This window comes from Homo sapiens, chromosome X (assembly GCF_000001405.40).
Source record: "Homo sapiens chromosome X, GRCh38.p14 Primary Assembly".
Taxonomy (NCBI): domain Eukaryota; kingdom Metazoa; phylum Chordata; class Mammalia; order Primates; family Hominidae; genus Homo; species Homo sapiens.
In genome coordinates this window covers 149,469,987-149,496,187 of record NC_000023.11, presented here as the reverse complement: position 1 = coordinate 149,496,187, position 26,201 = coordinate 149,469,987, and the positions used below count along the sequence as shown (strand labels likewise).

General features: G+C 45.3%; 1 protein-coding gene and 1 long non-coding RNA gene across 5 annotated transcripts in view, besides 8 other annotated features; both read left to right on the top strand.

Moving 5' to 3' along the window:
- Positions 1–8,494: part of a non allelic homologous recombination region, noted in NCBI's record as "sub-region b, recombines with sub-region b' within the IDSP1 recombination region", that runs on past the window's edge. NCBI's record gives the evidence for it as "EXISTENCE:nucleotide sequencing assay evidence [ECO:0000219][PMID:9801874]".
- Positions 1–9,443: part of a biological region, named in NCBI's record as "IDS recombination region", that runs on past the window's edge. NCBI's record gives its function as "recombination_partner: LOC106050103".
- Positions 1–19,200, top strand: part of IDS (iduronate 2-sulfatase) — a 28,319-nt gene extending 9,119 nt beyond the window's left edge. For 2 of the 4 annotated variants that reach the window (NM_001166550.4, NM_000202.8), the window contains exons 7-9: positions 5,748–5,874; positions 9,090–9,263; positions 12,970–19,200. In NM_001166550.4, the coding sequence (NP_001160022.1) occupies positions 5,748–5,874; positions 9,090–9,263; positions 12,970–13,442 (774 nt within the window). In that variant the 3' untranslated portion in view covers positions 13,443–19,200. Of the gene's footprint in view, positions 1–4,520; positions 4,651–5,747; positions 5,875–8,874; positions 9,058–9,089; positions 9,264–12,969 lie in introns of those variants that run through there. The other 2 variants (NR_104128.2, NM_006123.5) reach the window with 2 other exon arrangements.
- Positions 886–1,893: a meiotic recombination region, noted in NCBI's record as "meiotic double-strand break mapped by DNA meiotic recombinase 1 chromatin immunoprecipitation followed by single-stranded DNA enrichment and sequencing in the germ cells of some male individuals with the PRDM9 A/C genotype". NCBI's record gives the evidence for it as "EXISTENCE:chromatin immunoprecipitation-seq evidence [ECO:0000229][PMID:25395542]".
- Positions 1,346–1,361: a nucleotide motif, noted in NCBI's record as "nucleotide motif; similarity to the predicted 16-mer PRDM9 C-type binding motif, CCNCNNTNNNCNTNNC".
- Positions 7,117–9,443: a meiotic recombination region, noted in NCBI's record as "meiotic double-strand break mapped by DNA meiotic recombinase 1 chromatin immunoprecipitation followed by single-stranded DNA enrichment and sequencing in the germ cells of some male individuals with PRDM9 A/A, PRDM9 A/B and PRDM9 A/C genotypes". NCBI's record gives the evidence for it as "EXISTENCE:chromatin immunoprecipitation-seq evidence [ECO:0000229][PMID:25395542]".
- Positions 7,775–8,000: a non allelic homologous recombination region, noted in NCBI's record as "sub-region a2, recombines with sub-region a' within the IDSP1 recombination region". NCBI's record gives the evidence for it as "EXISTENCE:nucleotide sequencing assay evidence [ECO:0000219][PMID:9097969]".
- Positions 8,001–8,480: a non allelic homologous recombination region, noted in NCBI's record as "sub-region a1, recombines with sub-region a' within the IDSP1 recombination region". NCBI's record gives the evidence for it as "EXISTENCE:nucleotide sequencing assay evidence [ECO:0000219][PMID:9097969]".
- LOC107985667 (uncharacterized) lies at positions 24,051–25,284 on the top strand. The gene is made up of 2 exons (XR_001755972.2): positions 24,051–24,639; positions 24,811–25,284. It is a non-coding gene; the product is annotated as an uncharacterized LOC107985667 (long non-coding RNA).
- Positions 24,936–25,230: a silencer, noted in NCBI's record as "tiled region #6851; HepG2 Repressive DNase unmatched - State 12:CtcfO". NCBI's record gives its function as "represses a minimal TATA promoter and a strong SV40 promoter by Sharpr-MPRA in HepG2 cells {active_cell/tissue: HepG2}" and the evidence as "EXISTENCE:reporter gene assay evidence [ECO:0000049][PMID:27701403]".

Genomic DNA, 26,201 nt, shown 5'->3' with positions numbered 1-26,201 from the left:
AGGTATTTAGGACACAGGCAGTGTTGCCTGGATCAGGACTCTCCCAACCAGTGTCTTACTTTCTAAAGAAGGGAATGTCCAGAGAGTTGGTGACTTGTTGTGTGTGGACACAGAGGTGGGGAACCAGCCTGGGTGACCGTTCCTAACCCAGGGGATACTGTTCAGGTGACAGCTCATTAATTGTAGAGTGATGGGCAACTCCCGAGCAGCCCAGAATGCTTGGTTTGCTGGTACTTGCAGGTTCCCTCTGTGGGAAAGCCCATCCTGGCTAGCTGTCACTCTCAGGGGGTGGCTTGGTGAACAGGCCCTTGGTGCAGAGGGAACTGGGACACCATCATGGCCAGTGCCACCCAGCTGTGATGTCCGGCATTCCTTTGCCATGATTTAGGGGCGGAGCAACCACACAATTAGAATCCTCACACTGACTCATCAGTCACCCTTTCTCCCTGGAGAGCAGAATACACATTGACTAATGCTCTTTCTGGAATATTCCACACAGAACCCTGCCCTTCTCTTACCACATGAATGCTGTGGCAGGCAAGCTATAGCGGATGGAAGATGGCAGTGTTTTCAAAGTGTGCATCCTGGACTACCTGCCTTAGAATTTCTGGGAGGGCTTGTTGGAAATGCAAAGTCTTGGCCCACTCAGATTTACACAATTGGAAGCTGGAGGTGGAACTTGACCTGACAACCGACATTTCTTAAAAAAAAAAAAAAAAAGCACACCAGGTGATTCTGATTCATCAGAAGTTTGAGAGCCTCTGCTGTAGAGTATTGTTTAAAGCAAACACAGAACAAAACCACTGCATACAGATATCCCTTGCTATCCAAACTTACTTGGCCCCTGAGTTTGCACAACAAGAGTTTGGTTGGTGAGAGGTGTACATTCCTCAAATGTATTTGATTCCTGTTTCACTGAGAGTTTGGAAAGCAATGCATCCATCTGTTTGTTTTCTAATTTTGTGTTTCTGGGCTCCTGATGGTGAAGTGGCTTGAACTGGCTCTGAGGCTGCACCTGGATGCTTTATTAGTGATGGTCACTTAAAATGACCCTTCAAAATGGACTGTGTGCCAGGAAGGGCGCTGATTCATGTGTGGTATCGCCTTTAGTCCTCATGGGGACTTAGTGAGGTACCTGCTCTCTGTTGTCTAGGTGAGGAAACTCAAGGCATGGGAGGTGTGCTGACTTGTCTGACAGCACAAAATTAGTGCTGGGTGGAGCCAATTCATCCCCAGGGACTGTAACTCCAAAGCCCCATGGTTGGATCTGTTGGTTCCCAGCAGTGTGGGTTCGAATTCATGTTCTACCTCATACCAGCTGCCTAACCTCTGTCAAGTCATGTTACCTCCCTGAGCCTCCCTGAGTTTTCTTCTCTATAAAACTGAAACAAGGTAGGTAAAGTTTTTCCATGATAACACCTACTTTAGAGATTTTCAGCAAGAACCAAAGAGAGCATGTAGAAGTATCTAGGACCGTGTCGGCTGCACGGAGCTATCTCCTTCAAGTTCTCTTAGTCCCCTCCTTACACACAGTGGACAGCATGACTCAGAGGGCCTCCCTGATGCCTGCATGTGCTGGTCTCAGCCCTGTGTTCCCCTTGAACTCTGGCCTGCTCACTGTCCTCTTGTAGCTTTGGATGTCCGCATCCAAGCCCATCTCACTGCACCCTTGAGACTCAGCTCTGGGATCTCTTCAGCTCCAGCCCTCTAACTCAGCTCTACATGAGCCAGTGACCTCAGGGGCCACACTCAGGAGTTTGTTGCCTGCTCCTTCCGAGTCACCATACTGACCACAACCTCTTCTCCTAGCACTTCCCTTGCTCTACCTCACGGGGATTGCTAGAGTATGGATTTCTATCTCCCCCTTGTGTCCAGGTCCTGTTGGCTTTGTTGCTTCCCTAAATAGCTAAGGCCTGGTGGCAGGTGACTTACTGTACTTCCCAGCCGCCCAGCTCACCATACTTGTCCATTTATCCTTGCCCCTCCTGCAGTACCTTTATCGTCAGACACTCCAGCCACACCCTCTGCTCTGTAGTCCAAGTCCTGAAAGCTGCTGGAGAAAATCCATGCCCCCACGAAGCAGGGAGGCCCTCAGATGCCCCGCCTCCAGCCCCAGCAGCCCAGGCAAGCTCTCTGCTCAGCTCACCTCACTTGTCCTCTGCAGCTGCTCCGTTTGCATGACCTCTTCTCTACTCCCTTTCACTGCTCCCCTCCAGGCCTTTGCCACCCCTGTGCCCCATTTCTCAGTGGATAGCACCTTTCCTCTTGTAGAAATGGAAGCTGGTGGACAGCCAGAGGTAGGGGATCGGACAGGGTGGATGTGGGTACGCATCCTGGCTGTGCCCCTTATCAGCTGTGTGACTCTGGGCAAGTTAACCTTTCTGAGTCTTGGAGTCCTTAATGTGCCGTTCACAGGATCAGATGCCACCTAGTGTGTACTTGCTGAATGGGCTCTATTAATAATCTCTGTCACTGAGACCTGGAATTTTGTGTATGCATGTTCTGGGCTCGAGGCCTCTTCCCTCAACTCCCCACCACTGTCCCTGCTTCCCACGTCTGCAAGCAGAATGAGCAAGATCTTCCTTCTCACCTACCTACCCTGCAGCCTCTCCATCCACTCTCATCCCTCCCAGCTGCAAAAGTGCCAGCCCCCTTGCCCCTGCCTGTTTCTGCTTTCCACTCCTTCACCTGACCTCCAAGGCAGAGCGAGTGCACACTGGGCTGTTCTGGCTGTGTCTGTGGCCTCATTGTCCATTTGTTCTTCACCATCCTCTACACAGGCTTCCACCTCCCCAATCCACTAAACTCTCACCTCAGCACTGACCTTGGTGGCCAGTAAAATCTATCTGTGTAGGTCCTGACCTTCCTTGAGCTCTGTGTCACTTCCTCACTGTTGGCCAGCTCCACCCCTTCTGGGACTGTTGGCCTCCCAATCCTTTCTGTGTCTGCCACTTAGGTGCCACTTCCCAGGCCCCCCACTATATCCTTTCCACCTCTTCTTCCCCTGCTGGGCTCAGTTGAGCCTTGGCAGATGACTCCAGAACTACCCCTTCAGCCCAGGTCTCTCCTGATTTTCAGATATGTGTGTTGACCTGCCTGTGAGAGCCATTCCTAGGCAGATGACCCTGGAGACCTCAGCTCCATAGGCTTCCGCGTGGTCAGGCCACCACCCCTGCCCTGCCTTTTCTCCTTCCTCCTCCTCCTCTTGCGCCCCCTGCCCCCAAATGCCAGCGAATTATGCCACCAGCTGAATGTGAAACCTGGAGTCACCCTTGGGTTCCTCAACACCTCCTCCTCCTCTGCTCCCTGCCCCCATGTCTGCTTGATGCCCCTGAATTCCTCTCACATCCACACAGTCCTCTGGATCCTTCAGCACATTGTTCTGGACCACCTCAGTGGGCCTTGCTTTGTTTTGTTCATTCAGCAAGTGTAGTGAGCACCTCTTATGTACCCAGCAGTGGCCTAGTACCATTTTGTCTAAAGCCTCTGGAATCTGTGTCTGTGTCCTGTTGCAACAGGACTCTTAATAACTTGAAGCCCAGATCATGTCAATTTCTCGCCTTGAAAGACCTCAGTGACTCCATTGGCCTAGAACTTGGAGTCTCCACTCCCTGGATAGACCCACCAGGTCCATATTATCTGGCCCGGACCTAACTTTCTAGTCACCCCTCTGCCCTCCCATTTGATTCTCCAGTCACATGGGCCTTTCATTGGCCCCAAATGCAACCTGCTCTGTCACAACTCCACACTGTTCCGTGCCCTGCAGCCCCTGCTTGGAGCATCTGAGCCCCATTTGTCTGACTGCAGGTGCTTCTTGTCAAATTCTAACTCCTCTGTGAAGCCTTCCCTGAATCTCCCAGGCAGATTTGAGGGCTTATTCCCCTGTGTCACCCCTGGGCCTCTGTGGGGGATCGGTCAGAGTGGTGGGAAAAACTATAGGGAAAGGATGCAAACCTTCTGAAAGGTCAGAAGGTTCTGCAGAGCCCCAGGGGAGAATAGCTGTTCTATAACCCTGAGGCAGAGGGCAAGGAGTAGGTACAAGGGAGTGTGGGAGAATTTATCTTAAACAGGCTTGTTTACTTATGTTGACCAGGAACTGACCTTTGATCGTCTGTGCTTGTGAGGTTCCCTGAAAGGGGAACAATAAATGTTAATTACCTGCAGGTTGGCTCTAGGTTTTTGGCATTATGCCTGCACTGAATAAAAGCCAGCAGCTCCAGCTTCTCGGGGCTGCTCTCTGGCCACTAGAGCCAGGCAGTAACCTAGCTGCTCTTATGCTGCATACCTGTGTCTGAGTACTCATTTCATCCATAGGCCAGGGTCTGCAGGACAGACCCAGCAGGCCTCACTGATAATTAAGCATTTTCTTGTCTCCATGATTGTGTCCTCACTGGATGGGGTGGCTCATCAAGGGTGAGGACCTTGTCTGCTTATTGCCTTACGTCCAGGGGCTAGCATAGGAAGGAGGGAATACCTTTGTATAGGACATAGCCATCCTGACAGGTGTCTTTCATCCCCAGGAGGACCAAAGTTCCACAGGTTTCAGACTGAAGACTTCATCTACCAGAAAGTATAAGTAGGCCAGGGCTCAGCATAATCCTGCTGGAAGGCTAGATGTATATCTTTTCTCTTGACTGCAAGTGAGAACGGGTGAGTCTCATGATTGTCCTCACCCTGGCAGTGATGAGAAGAAGCTGGTGGGTCCAGCTGATAAGTCAGGGGCTGGTCTGCGAAGACACGGCTCTCTTCTCACCCCTCTTTGGGGTGGAAGATTAATTTTTGTCCTTAGCATTTGTGAACCAGGTTGGGAATGAGAGTCAGCCCAGGAGGGGCCGGTGGCTCATTTACTTCAGGGCATGATCTGGCTGTTCCCAAAGTGCCTCTTGGGTTCAGGGACTGTGAAGGACGTGCTGCTCTCTGGTATCTCCTTTGCTCTTCTCCTGCCTGCTGACAGTTTGTTAGAAATGAGCTCCACGTAACGGCCATAGTTCATGAAGATATGCAGTTGTAATCTGCTGTTGGGTTAGCAAGTGATCAGAGGGAAAGGCTCAGTCAGGGTTGCTGTTATGTGTTAAATTATGAATTTTTTTTTCCCTGAAAAGGGCTGTTGACATCCTAACCCCCCAGTACTGCTGAATGTAACCATATTTGGAAATAGGTTTATTGCAGATGTAATTAGTTAAGATCAGGTCATATTGGAGTAAGGTGGGCTCCTAATCCAATATGATCGGTGTCCTTTAAGAAGAGGGGAGAGAGACACGGGAAGAACACATGAAGATGGAGACACAGTGATACAGCTGCAAGCTGAGGAATGCCAGGGACTGACAGCCACCACCACCAGCTAGGGAGAGGCAAGATTCTTCTACTTAGAGCCTTCAGGGAGAGAATGGCCCTCCCAGCACCTTGATCTTGGACTTCTAGCCTCCAGAGCTAGGAGACAATACATTTCAGCTTAAAACAACAGAGCAGTAGGTGACACATTCATCCACTGTGATCTGTGCCCTAAAGTGAAATCTGATTTGCTTAGAAATGTATCTTATTTGTAGACCTACAGATTTTGCTGTGACTCTGTGGGTGAAGTGATGCTGATGGTAGGGAAAGGAGTGTTACATTTTGGCTGAGAAAATCATTAAGGGCATCAACTAAGGGGTAGGGATTGGGAGAGATGCACAGGCAAGCATTATCTCTGTATGCCTTGGCAATTTAAATTGCAGTCACTCTCATTTTTATTTTTTTTCAATTTGCAGCGGAAAATCCGCCAGAGCTACTTTGCCTCTGTGTCATATTTGGATACACAGGTCGGCCGCCTCTTGAGTGCTTTGGACGATCTTCAGCTGGCCAACAGCACCATCATTGCATTTACCTCGGATCATGGTAAGCATTTTGAAATTCCCTGGTGAGTCAAAACATCTGAACTTTCCTGTGAAACATGCTTTGCAAAATTGCCATTGACATAAACATGGGTGTGTTCTCTTTTGTGAACCAGTGGTTCACAAACAAAGTGGGATCCTGGGGCATTTTTATGATCAGCTTGTTAGTCCTGAGACCTCTGTCTTAGATGCTTGACGGATAGGTGTGGGTGGGTGGGGGAGGGTCTTGCAGCAACTTTTTTTTTTTTCTTGATGAATGCAGCAGGAACCCTCCATTTGTGTGGCAGAGCTCTTGTAACCCCCATTTTTAACCTGGAGGGTTGGAGGACTTTTAGTTTGGGTGGAGAGGATCCAGAACAATCCTGGCAGAGCCCAGCAAGCTCTTCACGCCTGGCTCCAGCCCTCCCACCCCTATCCCCGCTGTCTTCTCTGCCGAGAGCCTGGGCTTTTCAAGTCTTTATCTCCCCCTAAGGCTGTTTCCTACTTTTCCAAAAATGAAACTATCTTTTTAAAAGCATTTTTTAAATTCTTCAACATTCCAAGAGCAGGGAATAAAACAGCAGCTCCCCCCGTTTCCCACTCACATAGTCTTGTTCCTCTCATCCTCACCCACTCCCCCATCTCTGAATTGTTTCGAAGCAAATCCCAGATGGTTCCATTTTCCGATCACTGTCTCTGAAAAATATTGCCTCTTTTGAAGTATAACCATAATACTGTTATACTTAGAGAAAGGAAAATAATTTTCATATCATCAAATATGAAATAGGATAATAGTAAATCATAACATGTGCTTATCATGAAAAGAAAAAAGGATACAGAGCATGTAATTCAGGGCCAGAACATCCTGCCCTTTTCTCCCACCTGCTCAGGGCTAACAGATGACAATGGATTAGGGATCCATCTGCCAGCCATCAGTTGTGCACATATGCACACAGGGATATATGTTATACATGTGTATGTTTGTAACATGTATGTCACAAGATGTGATTGCTTGTTCTGTGTGTACTGTTAACGTTCCCTGGTTTTGTACACTTAATGTCATAGGCAATCTCTGTGTCATTTCTCAGAAGCCTACCTTTTCCCTTAGAAATGTCTGTAATATTTTATTATATATGGAGGTGCCATAATTTTTCACATATTCCTGATTATCTGCCATCTGCTTCTGAGCCCTCGGTGCCCAGTTTCCTCTTCTCCACGAACACACTCTGTTGTGAGGCAGTTGCCGTAGATTACAAATAGCCCATCTCAGAGTCCCCTCCTGGGACATCCTCCATCAGAACCGCCTGGGAGCCAGTAAAACATGCTGGTTTCTGCAACTGGTCTCAGGAGCTCGCAGTTCTGGGCATGGGAAAGTGCACTTTAACAGGTGTCTCAGGTGGTCTGGCCACCTCTCCCTGAGCTCATCATTCCCTGGGCCTCCCTATGTTGCCACGTCCTCATCTTGGGCCTCTGGGGCAGGAGCCAGAAACCTCCTGAGCTGCCTGTCAAGGTCATCGGGCTTGTTCCTCCTGATCTGGAGATGGATCCTTGGGGCCCACACAGGCACGCGTTCTCCTTAGCCAGACTTCCCCGTATTTGCTCCTGGCTGCAGCAGCACAGGCTGAGGCCCGGCACCAGATGTTCAATACGATCTTGCAGTCAGGCGGTCCACAGCTATTTCTGTAGCATTTGCCATGTGTCAGACCCTGTGCCAGGCCTGGGGGCCCCCTCTGCCTGGTGCAGGGCAGCTCACAAAAGCTGGCAGAGGCCGAAGGCTGCGTGCCAGTATTCAGAATGCCACAGAGCGCCTGGCTGCTGTACCTTCAGAGCCTCCACAGGCACCCCAGTCAGAGTTCCGGGAGTGGATTCCTGAGGTCGCACTGCCAGGTTCCCTCACGTTGCCATCCTGCAGGCTTCTCGATCCTTGACCTTTTAGATTCCCGCCACACTGAATCTAAAAGGGACAATGTGACCTCTAAGCTGGTGGCCTAGGAGCCTGCCGATAACCTACCCATTCATCAGCCCTCGTGGGTCAAGGCTGCCTCGTCCTCCCCGAGAGAGTGGAGAGGTCGAGCAGTGGGGATGCCCCTCAGGCCCCGGGGCTTACTGACTGGGGCGGGTGTCAGGGGGAACTCCCTCTCTTTCTGAGCTCCACTGAGCTATCTGAAAGTCCCCACCATACTCCCCAGTACTGACAGCCAGAGGGAGGAACGGCTCACCAGAATCATTGGGCATCTCTGATGGGCATCAAGTCTGCTTTGATTATTGATGAGTGGGTAAGAGGGTCCTCTCAACTTGGGGTCTCCTTGGGAAAGCACTGTCAACTCAGAACAGGTTTCAGCCCTGTTCTGGAGACCACAGGCCCTGGAAGGCTGGGACATCATTTGCAGCCCCAGCGTCATCTATTAGACGGAGCCAGCAAGGTCTCATGCTGTGCGGTACATTTCAACACTTTCTCAAATTTACCCGTGGCAGCTTTTGGTGTGTTTGGTTATTTTTATAACACTACTCACTGTACAATTTCTGTCATGCACATTTTTTGTATCAAAAAGGGTGCTGTAACTTTAAAAGACTGGGTATTTCCAACTTGGAATATTCAAACCATCTTTTGCAAGGGATGTTTTAAATAGGCATGAAGGGTTGTTTTTAATTGAGGTTAAGGATCTGAAATGAGAGGTTTTGGTTTACCCTATCTATGGTATGTCTTAAAAATCAACGAAGATGTCCTTGTCTTTTTTGAATTTGCCGAGTGTGTTGCAGTTCCACAGCTCACTGTTAGGTGGCACATACCCCAAACTGAAAACCTGACCTCGTAGGGCATGAGTCAAAAGACAGGTAGGCACAGGACAGGGCAGTGGTGACACTACAGCTTTCAGGGTTCCCAGCCTGTCAAGAATGAGCATGTCTTAGCAGGGGAGGAACGCATGTGTGGGAACCGCCACAGAGTCCTACGTTAGGTATATGTTGCTAGTAGTTTGTTAAGATATTTGAGTTTGGGAATTTAATTATTTTTTCTTTTTTAAAGGTTTCCTCATGAGGACAAATACCTGATTTTGAATAAAGCAGCATTCAGTTGAAATAACCCTTTCTGTGGTAATTCCAAGTGAATATTTTTCTTCTAGGTGATGAGTTTCTACTTCCTCTGGTTTTTACAACAGGAAATGAAATGGTATCTAAAATAAACAAGCTGTGGTATGATGATTATTCATTTTCTGTCATTCTGTGCTTTTTATGAACTAGGGTGGGCTCTAGGTGAACATGGAGAATGGGCCAAATACAGCAATTTTGATGTTGCTACCCATGTTCCCCTGATATTCTATGTTCCTGGAAGGACGGCTTCACTTCCGGAGGCAGGCGAGAAGCTTTTCCCTTACCTCGACCCTTTTGATTCCGCCTCACAGTTGATGGAGCCAGGTATAAAATATGCTGAAATGATATTGCTTGACAGTAAGATCACCTTTAGTTTATATGTGAACCACTTTATTGAATCATAGGCTTTGGGGGTTACACAGACCCCCCCTTCCTGCCTTGTGTTGGAATTTCTTCTCAACATTTTGTGGTCAGCACACGCTTTCTGAACATCTCCCATACTCTGGGTGGGGAAAGAGTGACAGAACCAGAATTGACAAGTATGGCCCCTGTCCACAAGGAGCCTTGTGGGATGATGATGGACAAAGGAACAGGTGCATCCCCAAGATGGGGAGGGCTGTGGTACAGTCTACAAGAGCCTGCTCCAGAGCTTAGAGTAAGGGGCTGCCCCCGTAACAGACGAGGAGAATCCTTTCCCTCGATGCGCACTTTTGGTAGGGACTCAGCCTTCTTTGTGGGGGGCACATTTTCCATTTTGACAGCTCATCAATCTAGTGAACCACTAGATCTGTAAAATCTACCAGGTGATTCTACTCTGCCCTCCCCAGCAGTGAAGGGCAAGTTTACTTTGACTTCCATGTGCCAGTCCTTCAAAGCTTTGAAAACAGCACTGATGCCCCCGACCCTGTCCATCCACCAATATCTTCTCTTCTCTAGGCTGAAATCCCCAGCCCTTCAACCATTCGTCACAAGGTAGTGTTTAGACGCGTGGTTGTCCTGGTCTCTGTCTTCCAAAAAGTTTCAGTTTGAGAAAGCACTTCCAGAATACCAGTTGGACCAGATACCCCTCCTGGATGTGTGGGCAACCTGTATGGGTTCTTGTGAGTTCTATCCTGACTTGATCTGCCCAGTGCATTTCAGGGACAGGTTGTACACTGTCTCTGAAATGACGTATGACGTTTGCTCTTTTTGGAGTGCCTCTTCTATGAACTATGCTAAACCAGATTGCCCCCTTTCTGGACTTAAGCATTTAATCCATCCTTAACATCTAAATCTTGTACTGTATATTGATTCCTGTTTAAATTTGTCTTGGTTCTGGACCATCATTCGGGCCTTTCTGGATCTTTCTGAGCTTGCTTTATACTACCCAATTTTATTTTTTGCACTTTGATTTTTGTGCACTGCATGTCCTGTCTTCTTTCATGTCATTGATAGAAAGGTTAAACAGTTTCAAGGCATGATTTTAGCCCTTTGTTTGCTGGGAAAGATCTTCTGATTGGTTGAGAATCTTTTCTGAAACTTTTGTTGGGAAGTGTTCAGCAATTTAGAAATTGATGTAACTGCACGGCCTTTCAGTTTATTTCCAAATTTTATCTCTAGCTGTGTCTTTTCCCTGAACTTCAGACTTTTGTTTCCAATAGTCTTTCCCACTTAGCCAGCCTAACATATCCAAAGCTGGACTTCACATCTTTCATCTTCAGCTTTTCCTTCAACACTCTTCTTGTCCTCAAGAAATGAGAATAGTCACTCATGCCAAAAAATCATGGAATAATCTCAACCCCTGTTCTTCTCTTACTCCATATGCAATATTCAGTCTATGAGAAAGCCTGTCACACTCCATTCAGACTCTGTGTACCACTTCCCACCACTTCGCCTGCCACTGTCTTGGACCAGACTGCCACTGTCTTGTGCTGAAGTACTGCAAGAGCTTGCTAAATGGTCCCCTTGCTTGTGCCCTGGATCCCTTGGAGGTTTTCCTCCTCAGAGCAGCCACAGTGATTCCATTAAAACCCAAGTCAAGTCATGTCACAGCCCGGCACAGGAGCCTCTTATGTACCCTTCTTGATCTGAGTAAAAGTCGTCACAGTGGCCTTACATGTTCTGGCCCCATTATCTCCCTGACCTCATCTTTTTATAAGTATCCAGGCCAGTTGTCCTATAACAGTGTCCCACAGCCTGGATTTATCTGATTGCTTCCACATGACTACATTCAGGGTAACATTTTTGACACGTGTGCTACATGGGCTGTTGTATTCTCCCATTGTGTCACATGGTGGGGGCACTTCATGGCCAGCGTTACTAGTATTGTAAGTTTGAACACTCGGTTGAAGAGCTAGCTAGCATCAGCCAGATCTTGCCATTGTAAAGGTACCTTTTTCAACTTTCTTTACTTGTTTTCTTTTTATTTTACTTAAAAATTAAGTGTCTAGAAAATGAAATCAAGCATGATAAAGCACTGTCTTAAAGATCCAGAAGGGCCAGAATGGTAGTGCAAATCCAATTGCAATTTTAACAGGAATCAATATAAAGTACAGTATTTAGACTTTAAATATGGATGAACCGCAATGAAATACTACTTCATACCCACTAGGATGGCTATTAATAAAAAACAACAACAAAAGCTGTGAAAGGCTGGGCGTGGTGGCTCACGCCAGTAATCCCAGCACTTTGGGAGGCCAAGGTGGGCGGATCACGAGGTCAGGAGATCAAGACCATCCTGGCCAACAAGGAGAAACCCCATCTCTACTAAAAATACAAAAATTAGCTGGGTGTGGCGGTGCATGCCTGTAATCCCAGCTACTCAGGAGGCTGAGGCAGGAGAATCACTTGAACCTGGGAGACGGAGGTTGCAGTGAGCTGAGCCGAGATTGCGCCACTGAACTCCATCCTGGAGACAGGGCTAGACCCCGTCTAAAAAAAAAGAATGAAACAAGTGTTAAGAGTGTTAGTGATTATATGGAAAAATTGGAACACTTGTGCATTGCTGGTAAGAATGTAAAATGGTGCAGCCACTGTGGAAAAGAATTTGGTGGATCCTCAGAGTTAAACATAGAATTACTCTATGGCCCAGAAGTTCCACTCCTAGGTATATATCCACAGAGCTGAAAACAGGTATTCAATCAAAGGTTGTACATTACTGTTCATAGCAGCACTATTCACAGTAACCAGAAAGTGGAAGCAATTCAGATGTCTATTGACAGAAGAACAGACAAAATGTGGTCCGTCCATGCAATGGAATATTATTCAGTCTTAAAAAGGAAGGAAACTGACACATGCTACATCATGGATGAGCCTTGAGGACATTATGCTAAGTGAAAAAAGTCAGTCACAAAAGGACAAATACTGTATAATCCCACTCCTATGAGGTATCTAGAGTAGTCCAGTTCATAGACATAGAAAGTAGAATGGTGGTTTCCAGTTGCTGGGTGAGGATGGAGAAAGGGGAGTTGTTACTTAATGGGGACAGAGTTTCAGTTGTGTAAATTAAGAGGAGTTCTGGAGATAGATGGTGGTAATGATGGCACAACAGTATAAGTGTACTTAATTCCACTGAACTGTATACTAAAAAGTGGTTACGATGGTAAATGTCATGGTGTGTGTATTTGATCGTAATAAAATGCAAAGATAACTCTAATGCAGACATCCAGAAGGGAGTAATGTGTGGGGTGATCCTGTGGGAGTCAGAATATCCTGTTCCTCAACAGACTCTTTTACCTAGTGGTTGTAGCCTTAATTGATGATCCTTGTCTGAGTCAGTTATTAAATCGGTGGTTCCAAAATTCAGGTTGTTTTAAAAAGCGCCAACAGCCTCGTGGGGCCCTAATTTTGCATCCTGCTATTTGATTGGATGAGTAATTAATGCAGGGTGAGGTGCCGAGGTGGTGTTTCTAAACGTCTGTTGCTAAAGATAAATGTTGTAAATTAAAAAAAGAAAACATATGGAGCCCAGACAGGTTCCTTTACTGCTCCTGCCTGGCCATGGCAGGCTTTTATAATGTAACCCATTCTGCTCTGTCGCTTCCTGTTTCAGGCAGGCAATCCATGGACCTTGTGGAACTTGTGTCTCTTTTTCCCACGCTGGCTGGACTTGCAGGACTGCAGGTTCCACCTCGCTGCCCCGTTCCTTCATTTCACGTTGAGCTGTGCAGAGAAGGCAAGAACCTTCTGAAGCATTTTCGATTCCGTGACTTGGAAGAGGATCCGTACCTCCCTGGTAATCCCCGTGAACTGATTGCCTATAGCCAGTATCCCCGGCCTTCAGACATCCCTCAGTGGAATTCTGACAAGCCGAGTTTAAAAGATATAAAGATCATGGGCTATTCCATACGCACCATAGACTATAGGTATACTGTGTGGGTTGGCTTCAATCCTGATGAATTTCTAGCTAACTTTTCTGACATCCATGCAGGGGAACTGTATTTTGTGGATTCTGACCCATTGCAGGATCACAATATGTATAATGATTCCCAAGGTGGAGATCTTTTCCAGTTGTTGATGCCTTGAGTTTTGCCAACCATGGATGGCAAATGTGATGTGCTCCCTTCCAGCTGGTGAGAGGAGGAGTTAGAGCTGGTCGTTTTGTGATTACCCATAATATTGGAAGCAGCCTGAGGGCTAGTTAATCCAAACATGCATCAACAATTTGGCCTGAGAATATGTAACAGCCAAACCTTTTCGTTTAGTCTTTATTAAAATTTATAATTGGTAATTGGACCAGTTTTTTTTTTAATTTCCCTCTTTTTAAAACAGTTACGGCTTATTTACTGAATAAATACAAAGCAAACAAACTCAAGTTATGTCATACCTTTGGATACGAAGACCATACATAATAACCAAACATAACATTATACACAAAGAATACTTTCATTATTTGTGGAATTTAGTGCATTTCAAAAAGTAATCATATATCAAACTAGGCACCACACTAAGTTCCTGATTATTTTGTTTATAATTTAATAATATATCTTATGAGCCCTATATATTCAAAATATTATGTTAACATGTAATCCATGTTTCTTTTTCAAATCTAAAGTTAAAAAAAAATAGCAGAAGCCAGTGTCTTAAAGTCTATCTTTTGTTTCTAAGACCATGGGATTTCATAATCTCAAGATAAAATATGTATGAAGTAATTAATGTAGAATTTTTACACCAAATAATAAATAATGCTTAATAAACTAGAGATATGAGATGTGTAGGAAATTTGGTTAAACTTTTTTCAGATACTTTCTGGCCCAAATAATAATTTGTTAGCAAATAATATGACCCTTGAACTCAATGGCCATCTATTAAAAGACTGTTGTTCACACTGGAAAACATTTAAAGATGTGACTATATCCATGGGTGGATTGAATCACTCAAAATATATTAGTATCCTTCTTTAGGGATGGTTGGTTACAGACATGTATTTATTCAGGAGGCAGAAAATATTCCATTTTAATTGCTTATTAAAGAAAACATTAAATTCTAAATTATTTTGAGGACTGTGAAGACTTTTCATTAGTGTAATATTAGGTCATTGTCAATCTCCCAGAATGTAGTTCTATATTCTCTAAATATGAAAGTATCCAGAAAGGCCAGTGGTAGTAAAAAGCTTAGTGTATATAATCTCAAAAGGGATGGAATATTTACAACTCATATTTATAACATGTTGAATCTTCTCAGTTATCAGTAGTCATCAGAAGTGTCAATAGCTTTCTAAATAAATATTAAATATCTACTGTCCTGTAGTGAAGGAGTAATTTTTAGTAATTTTCTCTTTACAAAGTCTCCAGTGTTTCCAGGTAAATATTTGTGAAACAAAATACAGCAAACTACATTGTTACTTCAGTGTATTGTTGCCAAAAATGACAAGATATTATATTAAAATCAGTAAATTTTAGACAGATTTTAAAAATTAATTAGCCTACAATAGAGGTTATATGGTAACACGGTGATCTTCTAAGCAGTTAAGTGACTGACTGTTCTGGCAACAACGACTTCTCCGTGACTGAAGGGCCCTGTTCATTTCCTGATCCTGAAGCTCGTCTCTCTTTTGAGCCTCCGCTTGCTTTGGTCGATGGTTTCCCTCAGCTTTTTCTTTGCTGTTCTTCATCCTCGTTGTTGCTGTCATCATGTTCACTGTGGCTTTTACAATACAGCCTGTAAATTCCTTATGACATAGTTCAGTGCATTTGGCTTTATTGCCTGCTCCACAGTTCTTTACCTTTACTTGGCTTAGAGAAACTGTATCTTTGTTGCTTCATATAACCTTTCCCCAACCCCACTAAGCTGGACATAACTTATTAGTGGTCCTCCCGTCACTTTATTTGTAGAAATCTCTCTTTCACATGAGCAGGGGTTCTTTCATGTGGTTTAGCTGACAGCAGAACTAGTGATTCTAGACATTTTGCATGGCCCTCATTCAGTGGCTCACAAACATGAGGGAGCATCAGAACTACTTGAGGGGCTTGTTAAAACCCAGTGCGTTAGAAGTCGGATGCGGTGGCTCACACCTGTAATCCCAGCACTTTGGGAGGCCCAGGCAGGCGGATCACTTGAGGTTAGGAGTTCAAGACCAGCCTGGCCAACATGGTGAAACCCCGTCTCTACTAAAAATACAAAAGTTAGCCGGGTGTGGTGGTGCATGCCTGTAATCCCAGCTTCTTGGGAGGCCAAGGCACAAGAATCGCTTGAACCAGGAGACGGAGGTTTCAGTGAATGAAGATCGTGCCATTGTATTCCAGCCTCGGCAACACAGCAGGACTGTGATTTTCTTTGGAGACTCCTAGATTTTCTGTGGTTTTGAACTGAATTTGTTGGATGTTGGCAAGTGCCTCTTATGAGCTGTTTCTTTATCCTGCATTTGCCCCACAAAGACTTATCTGGAGGTGAGCAAAGTATGTTTGGTAGTGAGGTCACAAAGGCAATCAGCCCCTTCCTCCCCACTCCCATTGCCATCTTCTCAGTCCTTCTCCCTTTCTTTCCAAGTAGTTTACCCACCCCTCCTCTTTCCTCCCCTGTCCCTAAAATAATCCACGTGTCTTCCTAAAATCTCTCTTTGATCCTGTCCTTTGATAACACCGTCAGTGCCTACTACTGGGTCTAGACAGACCTCTGTTGAGCAGTCAGAGTCTTCCCTGACTCCACAATGCCCCTTTCCTTGGCTGACCAGTATGACTACTGGTCCCCACCTTTCCCTTGCCTATCCCTACCTCCCTCCTACTAGGTTGTCCCATCCCTCTCTTCACCCATTCATTCATGACCATTTTTCACTACCAAGCTCCCCCCCTCCCGAAGGAGGCTGAGGTTTTTGTGACTCTCTAGACTCTATTGTGGGATGGAATGAACATTGCTAAAGAATCTTGTGTTCGCTTTACTTTAAAAAGGTATTTTTTTCCTAATTATAAAACTGATGTGTCAGTTACGGAAAAATTAGAAATGCAGCACAAATACATGAATATTTTACCACAAAATTGCCATATAATATCTTGTCTTTTTTGGGGGTGTGAATTTTTTGCATTGTTCTGGTCATATTCTTTATCATGTAATTTATGTTCTTTTTTACTAAGTATTATGTGTGGTTATTATAGATTTTCACAAAGATATATTGCTGGTAATATATTTTATTGTGTAGTCTTATAATTTACTTAACCTTCTTTCAATTGTTAGAAATTTAGGCTATTTCCAGATTTTCAGTATTGTAAATAATGCTGTGATGACCAATTTTGTGAATAAAATGTTTTTATGTATTTCAGATTATTCCCTTAGGATAGTCTCTCAGTGCCAAGTTGTCAAAAACATCTCTATTTTGCTTATCTTCCTGCTCTCTTGCTGCCTTAGGGGGTAGTAAACTGAAACATAAAGTAAACATGCATACAAATAAAAAACATAAAACAAAAATAAGCAACCTGATGGTAATAGGTGAAAGTGGTAACCTGTTTTAACTTTGAATTCTTGCCGGGCGCGGTGGCTCACGCCTGTAATCCCAGCACTTTGGGAGGCTGAGGCGGGTGGATCACGAGGTCAGGAGTTCAAAACCAGCCTGGCCAAGATGGTGAAATCCCGTCTCTACTAAAAATACAAAAATTAGCCGGGCGTGGTGGCGGGCGCCTGTAATCCCAGCTACTTGGGAGGCTGAGGCAGAGAATTGCTTGAACCCAGGAGGCGGAGGTTGCAGTGAGCCAAGATCGCGCCACTGCACTCCAGCCTGGGTGACAGAGCGAGACTCCGTCTCAAATAAAAAACAACAAAAAACAAAAAAAACTTAAAATTCTTTGCTTGTTAGTGACCTTGATCATGGTTCTCTTTGTACGATAGTTGGGCATCTGTATTTCCACTTGTGTGAATTTGCCTTTAAATTTTGGTTATGGGTTTCACCTTTTAAAATAATCAAACATATTTATCTTTTCCTGTGTGATAGGTTTTTTTCTGTATCTTTTCCTGTTAAACACACAGACCCCTCCCCAATCTGGACATTGAATAAATATTCATTTTCCTTTGCATTGTTTGGGGTTTGGTTTTATGCTTACTGTGTCTCTCCACCCCATTATCAGAGTAATATATGCTCATTGCATAAAATCTGGAACATGTGAAAACTGGAGATGAAAAGAAGCCCAGCATTTGAGACATACCCACTGCTGACATTTGTATATTTCCTTTCATTCTTTTACCTGCCTAAAGACATATATGCAGATATGGACATATTTAGCTTTACATACATGCAGACTACCACATATAATCTATATCTTGTTTTTTTGATCTAACACAATGTTAGCTTGGTTTTTTATGTCATTGACAGTTCTTGATTAACAGCTGTAATGGCTGCACAGCCCTGCTTCATTAATTTTTTTTTTTGGACTGAAATGTATGTACCACGTTCCGCTTATCCATTCATCCACCAGTGACCACTTGGGTCATTTCTACCTTTTGGCCATTGCAATAATGTTGCTGTCAACAAGGATGTACAAATATCTGTTCGAGTCCCTGCTCTTAATTGTTTTGGGTATACACCCAACCTACATTAATCTTTAATCACTTAAGATGTTGGGGTTTGTGCTGGGAGGTAACCAAGTGACTCTGGAGCAGCCTCACCCTAGCTACAGAGGGAAACTGACTCTTCCCTCTCTGCCCAATCTTTTGCCGCCTGTCAGGTTCCCAAGCTGTCCATACCTTACTGTGTGAAGCGCTTTGGGTATAAACTCCCAAATAGAGGCTCAGCCCCTTTTCCTTTCCCAAGTCCATCCTGCAGGTTATAGCTCTTCAGAGGAATCTCTTGAATTCTGGCCTGGGATCTGGGATTAAAGTAGAACCCAGGGTGTCCCTTGGGGCCTTAGGCATAGCCCGTTGTGGTGGAACCTGCCATCAGCCCCACTGCACTCAGTGGTCCCCTGGTACTTCAGGACAGTTTCTCTCTTCTGCACATGAGAACTTCAAGCAGAGAGGACTGTCAGTTGTTGCCTTCACATCACCAATCGTTTGGCCATAATGGCCAAGAGCCCTCACTGCTCTTGGGTCTTGCCTTTCCACATGTTACTGAAAGCTCCCGTTGGTGTCCCTGTCCACTAACTCACCTGATGGGACAGATGCCACTTTCCTCTGAGTGTCTGATAAAACACAGTCTGTTGTGGGGAGCCCACGCTCAAGGGTTTTCTTTGGGATCAGAGTTTCCCGGCTATTACTCCATGCCCTGCCTGACATCACTGTCATGTATGGTGCTAATCACCAAAGGATGCCCTTGTTTGATTCTGGATTCTAGGTGATAGTCCTTATCCTCTGATGGGGGAAGAGTTTGGGTGGGAGAGAACAAACCGACAAGTTGGTTCCAGATGAGGTGGCTGGGAGCCAACCCTCAGGTACTTGGCTCTGAGTAATGTGACGGCCCAGGCAAGAGGGCTCCCACTGCCAATGAGGAACAAAAGCTCAAGGTCTAGTAGTGTATTCAGCACATGCTAGGAAACAAGAGTTGGGACGTGGACAAGGAGAGGAGCAAAGGCCAGGGGTTAACTGCTTTTGGTTTTTCCTCTATAAAAGTCAGGGACTATGATTTATATGGGTGAGAAGGTTTGGAGTAGGACTGAAGCTGCCATTTACAAACCCCTTGCCCTAATTTATTGTAGTTTTGGGTGTGTTTCTGAAAGAACCTTTTGCAGGTGATTTTTATTCAGTACTCATTAACTTACAGCTTTTATGAATTCACATCTTCTACACTATTGAAAAACATAAGTTTGTATTGTGTTAAGTGCAGCATGAGTTATTATATGAATAAATCACATTAAATTTGCCATTATCGTGTGTGCAATTCTTGCTGCTGGTTTGGGACCGCTTGGTGCTGCCTTAAAATAAAAGGAGCCATTTAACAGAGCTTGATACCGTGGTACAGGTGTGCCCCCTTAAAGTATCCAACCTGTTCCTCCCCATGTGAGGGCCAAGGCAGCTGTGGTGTGGGTTTTATTAGGGAGTTGAATTCTTGAGGGTAGATGGTGAGTTGCACTTGACCATAGACACACTTTTCTGGGCAGTGGTATGTCTCTCAGCTTGCCCTGCAGTTACAGTACAGAGACTCCCCAGAAAGAAAGAGGAAGTGGGCTGACCAATTAGGTAGGCTTAGGGAAACCATATATGCAATAGCAACAAGGTAAAGGAAGCAAATTAGTGGGTTCTTGGGGTTCCAACTGGAAATTTGCCTGTTTAGTGGTCTTGGCTTAGTGTCTTCATGAGCCTTAGTTTATCTTTTTCTACCTATCCTACTGGTTTCGACTAAAAATTCGGAAGGCAGTGCTTCTTATATTGGTGAGGACATTGGAAGACATACATTTCCAAATAGATAAAGGCAGGCTGGAAGGATTGAGTAAATCTCAGCAGGTGAAGTAACTTCAATGTATTCATTTACTGGCTTGTTTATTATGTATGGTGCGAAGTTTAAAAGGCACAAACATGAGGGAGGATTGCTTGAGGCCAGAAGCTCAAGACTAGCCAGGGCAACATAACAAGACACCCATCTTTACACAAATTTTTAAAGAAATTAGCTGGGTGTGGTGGCATGGCACCTCTAGTCCCAGCTACTCGGGAGGCACAGGCAGGAGGATCACTTAAGCCTGGGAGTTCAAGACTGCAGTGAGCTCTGATCATGTCACTGCGCTCTGGCCTGAGTGACAGAGTGGGACCTTGTCTCAAACAAAGGCACAAACATGTATACAATGAAGAGTCATTTCCTCTTCCATGCTGTTCCCAGCTACCCTATTATCCTCAGAGGCAAGCATGCCTACCAGTTCTTGGAAACTGCTGAAGTTTGAAAAGGATAAATGGAGACCTAACAGGAAGGCCCCAGAACCAAGGTGCTAGTGAGGGGTGACCCAAGGGAGCAGTATTGCACATGCAACCCTTTTACATTGTGGCCAACAGCTCAGAATGGGGATGCGGTGTGATGTGGCTGCCAGGAAGTGAAAGGCATCTCAGGCTACATAAATGGATATCCAGGAGGAAGGAGGAGGTAAGCTGCTCTGCCTACGTGTCACGGTCAGCCAGCACCTGGAGAATTGTGTTTAGTTGCGAACATGGAGCTGTCATGGAAATGTGGACAAACTGGAGCCTGTTCAGAGGACAGCCCTAAGATGGGTGAGACCCAGCATATCATGTGAGGAACAGTTGAAGAAGTGTTCAAATGGGGAGAGAAAAGACTCGGGTGGGTAAAAGTAGGGGGTTGGGGGGAGAGCATGGCACTATCTTGAAATTTCTGAAGAACCATCAGAGGCAAGAGAGATTAAACACATGATATCTAGAGCCCCAAGGGAAGATCCAGCACTGGACCCTGCAAGGAGACAGATGGCCATCCAGAGGTTGAACTTTCGGCCGGGTGTGGTGGCTCATGCCTGTAATCCTAGCACTTTGGGAGGCCAAGGCGGGTGGATTGCCTGAGCTCAGGAGTTCGAGACCAGCCTGGGCAGCTTGGTGAAACCCTGTCTCTACTAAAATACAAAAAAAACCAAAAAAAATTAGCCAGGCTTGGTGGCGTGCACCTGTAGTCCCAGCTACTTGGGTGGCTGAGGCAGGAGAATTGCTTGAACCTGGGGGGTGGAGGGTGCGGTGAGCTGAGATCGTGCCACTGCACTCCAGCCTGGTGACAGAGTGAGACTCCGCCAAAAAAAAAAAAAAAAAAAATTAAAAAACAGAGGCTGAACTTTCTAACATAGCAGCTTACCATTGAAGGAGCCTGCTCCTAAGTGTGGTGAGCTGTCATCTGAGCTATGTAAGCATCACGTAGGCAAGAGGTTCTCAATAGAGAGCAGTTCTCCTCTTGGGACATTTGTCAGTGTCTAGGGTCATATTTGGTTATCACAACTGGGGAAAGGCTGCTACTAGCATCTAGTGTGTAGAGGCCAGGGATGATAGGAATCACACACAGACAGCACCCCCTCCCCCAGAACAATAAAGAACTATCTGGCCCAAATGGCAATAGTTCCAAGGCCGAGAAACTCTAACATAGGCAAACATTTGCTACAGAAAGAAAAACTACTAAAATCCCCTCTTTCTCTGAGACTTCTATGATTGGAGAATGCATGCTCAATTATTAAAATAGCATGCTGACTATATCAGGTGATTGGCCCTTTGCATATAGCCTTGAATACATTTTTAAAGATTGCAAGGAGCTTTCAAATCAAGATGATTTAATAACAAACCATTTCATGTAGTAGTAGTAGATTGGATTTCTCTTTCTTCCTGTTCAGTGGAGAGACCCTCCCATCTGAGTTTCCTCACCCATAGAAAAGATGTTAAATAGGTGATTTCTTTTAAAAAATAATATTGCATTTTTTCTCAGTTGAAAAATTATTACATATTCATCACAGAAAAATTAGAAAAATATACAAAAGCAAAGAAAATAATCTAACACCACTGTTTACTTGGCATAGTCCTTCCCCTGAATAATACATATATAAAAAAATGGTTCATACTCTATCTCCTATTGGTTTTTCTACATCCTGTTTTACAACCTGGGTGTGTGGTGGCATGGCACCTCTAGTCTGCTTTTCACACTGTGTGATTTCTAAGGGCTTCCCCAATTCCAAATTTCTGTGACACACAAATTGGAAGAATTTCCATATAAACATGTGAGGCCATTTCCTGGAGGACAAAACTAGAAACCTCTGAGTTTCCTTCCTCTCCCATGACGTCTAATAAATGTGAGTGTTTCCACAAAAGATAATACTGAGGATGCTGCTTTTCCTAGCCTTGAGTTTCATGACTCTGTTTGCTCACAGAGTGCCCTGGATAGCCCAGAAACTCTATGGAATAGAGACATCCATCACCAGGCCTTGTGGATTTTACCTCTTTGTGTATCCATGTATCCATCTGATACATGCATCCACTGATACTTTGTGTATCAGTGTATCCATCCAGGTTTCTACCTCCACCGGGTACCATTCTGAAGCCATCTCCTATCACTTGGACATGGAACCACTTCCTAACTGATCTCCTACTCTTGCTACACTGCAAACAAGTTCACACAGTTCTGAATATGATCTTTGCAAAATGCAAACCTGATTGTGTCTCTGCCTACCGCTTGTACCTCCCTGCTCTCCCTCCCTCCCAATGGCTTCCCATTACTATGTGGACAAGCAGAAAACACCTGAACCTGCCCTTTGTGTAGACCATTCATGGTTTGCCCCCTGCTGACCTGCCACACCTCCTTGTTTTAACTCCTACTCCATCTTCATGGCCAACTTAACCCTTCCTTTCCAAGGGCATTCTTCCCTGATGCCTTTGACTAGGTTGCATAGCAGCTTGCATCACACACATACCACTTCTTCATAGTCCTCAGCTTGGTTGTACTTTTTCACTGGTTTGTGTAATTATTTCATTTGTATCTGTTTCCCCAGAAAGCTCCATGGGGGTAGAGAGTGTCTATTTTTGCATCATTGCCTCCTAGTGCCCAGTACACAGTAACACCCACAACAAATGTTTGTGGAATGAATGAATACAGTGTTCATAATGGCCGCATTGTTTTCTGTCATTTCCCTAAGCTCCTATTGCTGACTCTTTAGGTTGTTTCCAGTGTCATTTCTATTACAAACTATGATGCAGAGAACATCACCATGCAGCCATCTTTGTGCACTTGTGTATTAATGTATCTCTAAAGGATAAAATTGTAGAAATAGAATTCTTGGGTCAAAAGCATGTGTAGAGGACATTTGACATGATGTTGGACACCAGCATCCTAAGTGCCTTTCTCTACTTGGGAAATTCTGCACTCAATTATTTTGAGTGGCAGGCAGGGAGAGCCCTCTTGCCACTGCAGAGGTGCAAAGTGCCAGGAGCTCATTTTCCCATGACTTCCTTGTGGCTAGACAGCAGGCATATGACTTTGACTCAACTCAGCAAGATGCTTTCCTCCTTGAGTTGGTAAAGCAGGAACCAGTGTGAATTCATCTTCCCCCAGAGGAAGGCTCTGTGGTGATGTTAACCACCAGTGTCCAGCACTGGTAGTGTCACTATGGTTACCAAACTGTTTTTGTGTGGTTATGGCAGCTTGCCTGGTCACCTTTGTCCTTACCTGTTTTTTAGGTTTGAGACTTTGGCCTTCTCTGGGATTCTATGAGCTACTCAAGCCTTTCAAAAACAAACAGACAAAAAAGAAAAAACCTTTTTTTTCTGCTTAAATTAACTAGTCAGTAAAACAACCAGGGCTCCTGATTGATGAAGTGTCTGCATTTGAAAATCTGGAAGTTAGTGCCAAATTTCCTCCAGAGAGGTAGCACAAATTCACACTCCCATCAGCAGAGTGCACAGAACCTGAGTTCCTATCTTCCCTCTAGTACTTCTTACGTTGCTTTGCAATGACCTATTTCTAAGGAAGGGGACATTTCTTATTCATTTTTCTAGACTAAGCCTCTAACCTAGGGCCTGGCAAATTTAGGCACTTACATGTTTGCTAAATGAATGAATGAAAATAATTGTCTTTAAAGAGTTTGAGAAAGACCAAAGGTACCGTAGCTTGAATCAGAGACTGGGAGTTGGAAGGACACTCATCCACCTCCTTATTTGTTTATTTTCCTTTTGCTTTTTTAGAGACAGGATCTCCCTATGTTGCCCAGGCTAGCCTCGATTTCCTGGGCTCAAGCGATTCTCCTACCTCAGCCTCCCAAGTCGCTGGGACTACAGGCATGCACCACTGCAGCTCCTTATTCTGAGGTGGGAGCTTAAAGCCCAGAGGAGGCAAGCAGCTCCACCAAGGAGACACAGCTAGCCAAGTGGAAGCAGCCTCAGATCCAAGTCCACCAAGTCTATTTTCAGCCCACCTCCAAGTCCAGTCTTCTGCAAGGACTGCTGCTTCCACAAGGTTTCTCTTCTTGGGTCTCCCGATCCAGGGAGTAGATTTCAGCTGAAATGATGTGCAAAGGAGCCACCTCAAAGCTATGAAACCGCCAGAAAATCACTTTGTGAAAGGAAGAAGGCTGGCGACCACCCGTTTGGAAAATTGCCTTTGTAGTAACTGGGGGGCACACATGTGTGTGGAAGGATCAAGCGTCAGCCTTGCTATGGCCACAGTTTTGATTTTCCTTTATTCTTTGTATTGCTTTCAAATCAAAGGGAAGCCGTAGCAGAGAACCTCTTGCCCTGAGCTACACATATGAAAATGAACAAGGTTATGGGAGTCGCGTGTTTTCAATAATGGATCGCTGGTGCCGCCCTTTCTAGGAAATGAAGCGAGGCTGTTGCTAGGTTGGCGGTAAGAGGCACTGGGCAGGGGTAGGGGGTCCTAATTCCAGTGGTTTTACCTTTCCCACTATTCATTCCAGTCCAACCAATTGATAGAATAAGAATCAATTCTGAGCAGAACAGTGTCTCATTCTATTTCAAGCCCCCCCCAACCTGCTTTTTGACATTTCTATCACCACAGCTTGATAGAGAAAAATATTCACAAAGCCGAGTCCGTTTTGAAGAGAACATCTGTAAAATTGGGTCAGCAGATACGTTACACGTTGGCGTGGAAGATGAAATAGAACCCTGTCTGGTCTGAGCTTCACAGCAACAGGGAAGGGCTTTGTTTCCACGGCGGCGCGCACTTGGATTTGTGCCTTACAGCTCTGATCCGGCCACACAGCCCAGGCCCCTGGGCAGCCACAGGGCGCCGCCGCCTTCCGCCCTGGCTTTAGGGACAAGCTGGAGCCTGGCGGTGGAGACAGCGTGTGGTTCCTCAGAGAACCACTGGAGGCCGCTGTGGCACCAAGAACGCACGAAGGGCGCCCGGCTGGCGGAGTGGGAGTCTCCAAGGAGTAATGACTGTCGCACACACTGACTGTTCTCAAATTCTAGTCCAGGATTTTAAAGACACTGTTATGAATTAACGAGAATAAAATACTCGGCAGATGAAGCTCGGGTCTCAGATCCCCTGGGGTTCTTTTCTAACTGCTTTCTCATTCCCACCCCCCCCGGAACTGGGTCTCATTTGCAATCCACGAGGCACAGGCTTTATACATGATGGAAACGTCTTCCAAAAACGACACAAATGCACAAATGTTACCCTTGCAGCCTATAGTATTCATCCCCAAATACTATTGCAAAATATTATGCTATTTTCTCTATCAAGCAGTATTGGCGGCAGGTGCCAACCACCACGTGGGCCGCAGGAATACAGCTGCTGGATAAAATGCAGGATGCCCAGTTAAATATGAATTTCAGATGAACAATAAATAATTGCTTAATATAAGTATGTCCCACGTAGTACATGGATCATATTTATACGACATAATTATTCATTGTTTATCTCAAATTCAAATTTAATTGGGAGTCCTGTGTTTTTATCCGTAAAATCTGGCCTCCCTTCACAGAAAGGGTGACTCCGGTGAGGTAGCAAGGAGGTACCCTGGTGCCCTGAGGGCACTCAGAGCTGGGAAGTGGTCAGAACTGAAGCTGAGCACAGAGTTCTATTCCAATGTGGGCGGTAATATGTGTCACATGTTCTCACAGAGAACAAATAGGCTCTTAGACCTGCCTGTTGGGAAGGGGTCTCAGAGGAAGAGATCTGTACAGTAACTGGAGGTAATGTTCCATTTTTCACTTTTTGGTTATTGCCTTCACCCTAATACCTACATAGGCACACGAGCTTCGAGTAGCATTAGTCCAAGCTTCACTGAAAGGCAGAGTTCAGTTCTATTGAGTTCAACCAAGCGCCATCATGCCCTGGTTCTGGAAGGTCGAGCACACACACACTGCGCTGATGTAGGCCTTGCCCCTGGTGTGATCACCCCAGGTCCCAGAGTGAACCTGGGTCTGCAGGTAGACTTCATA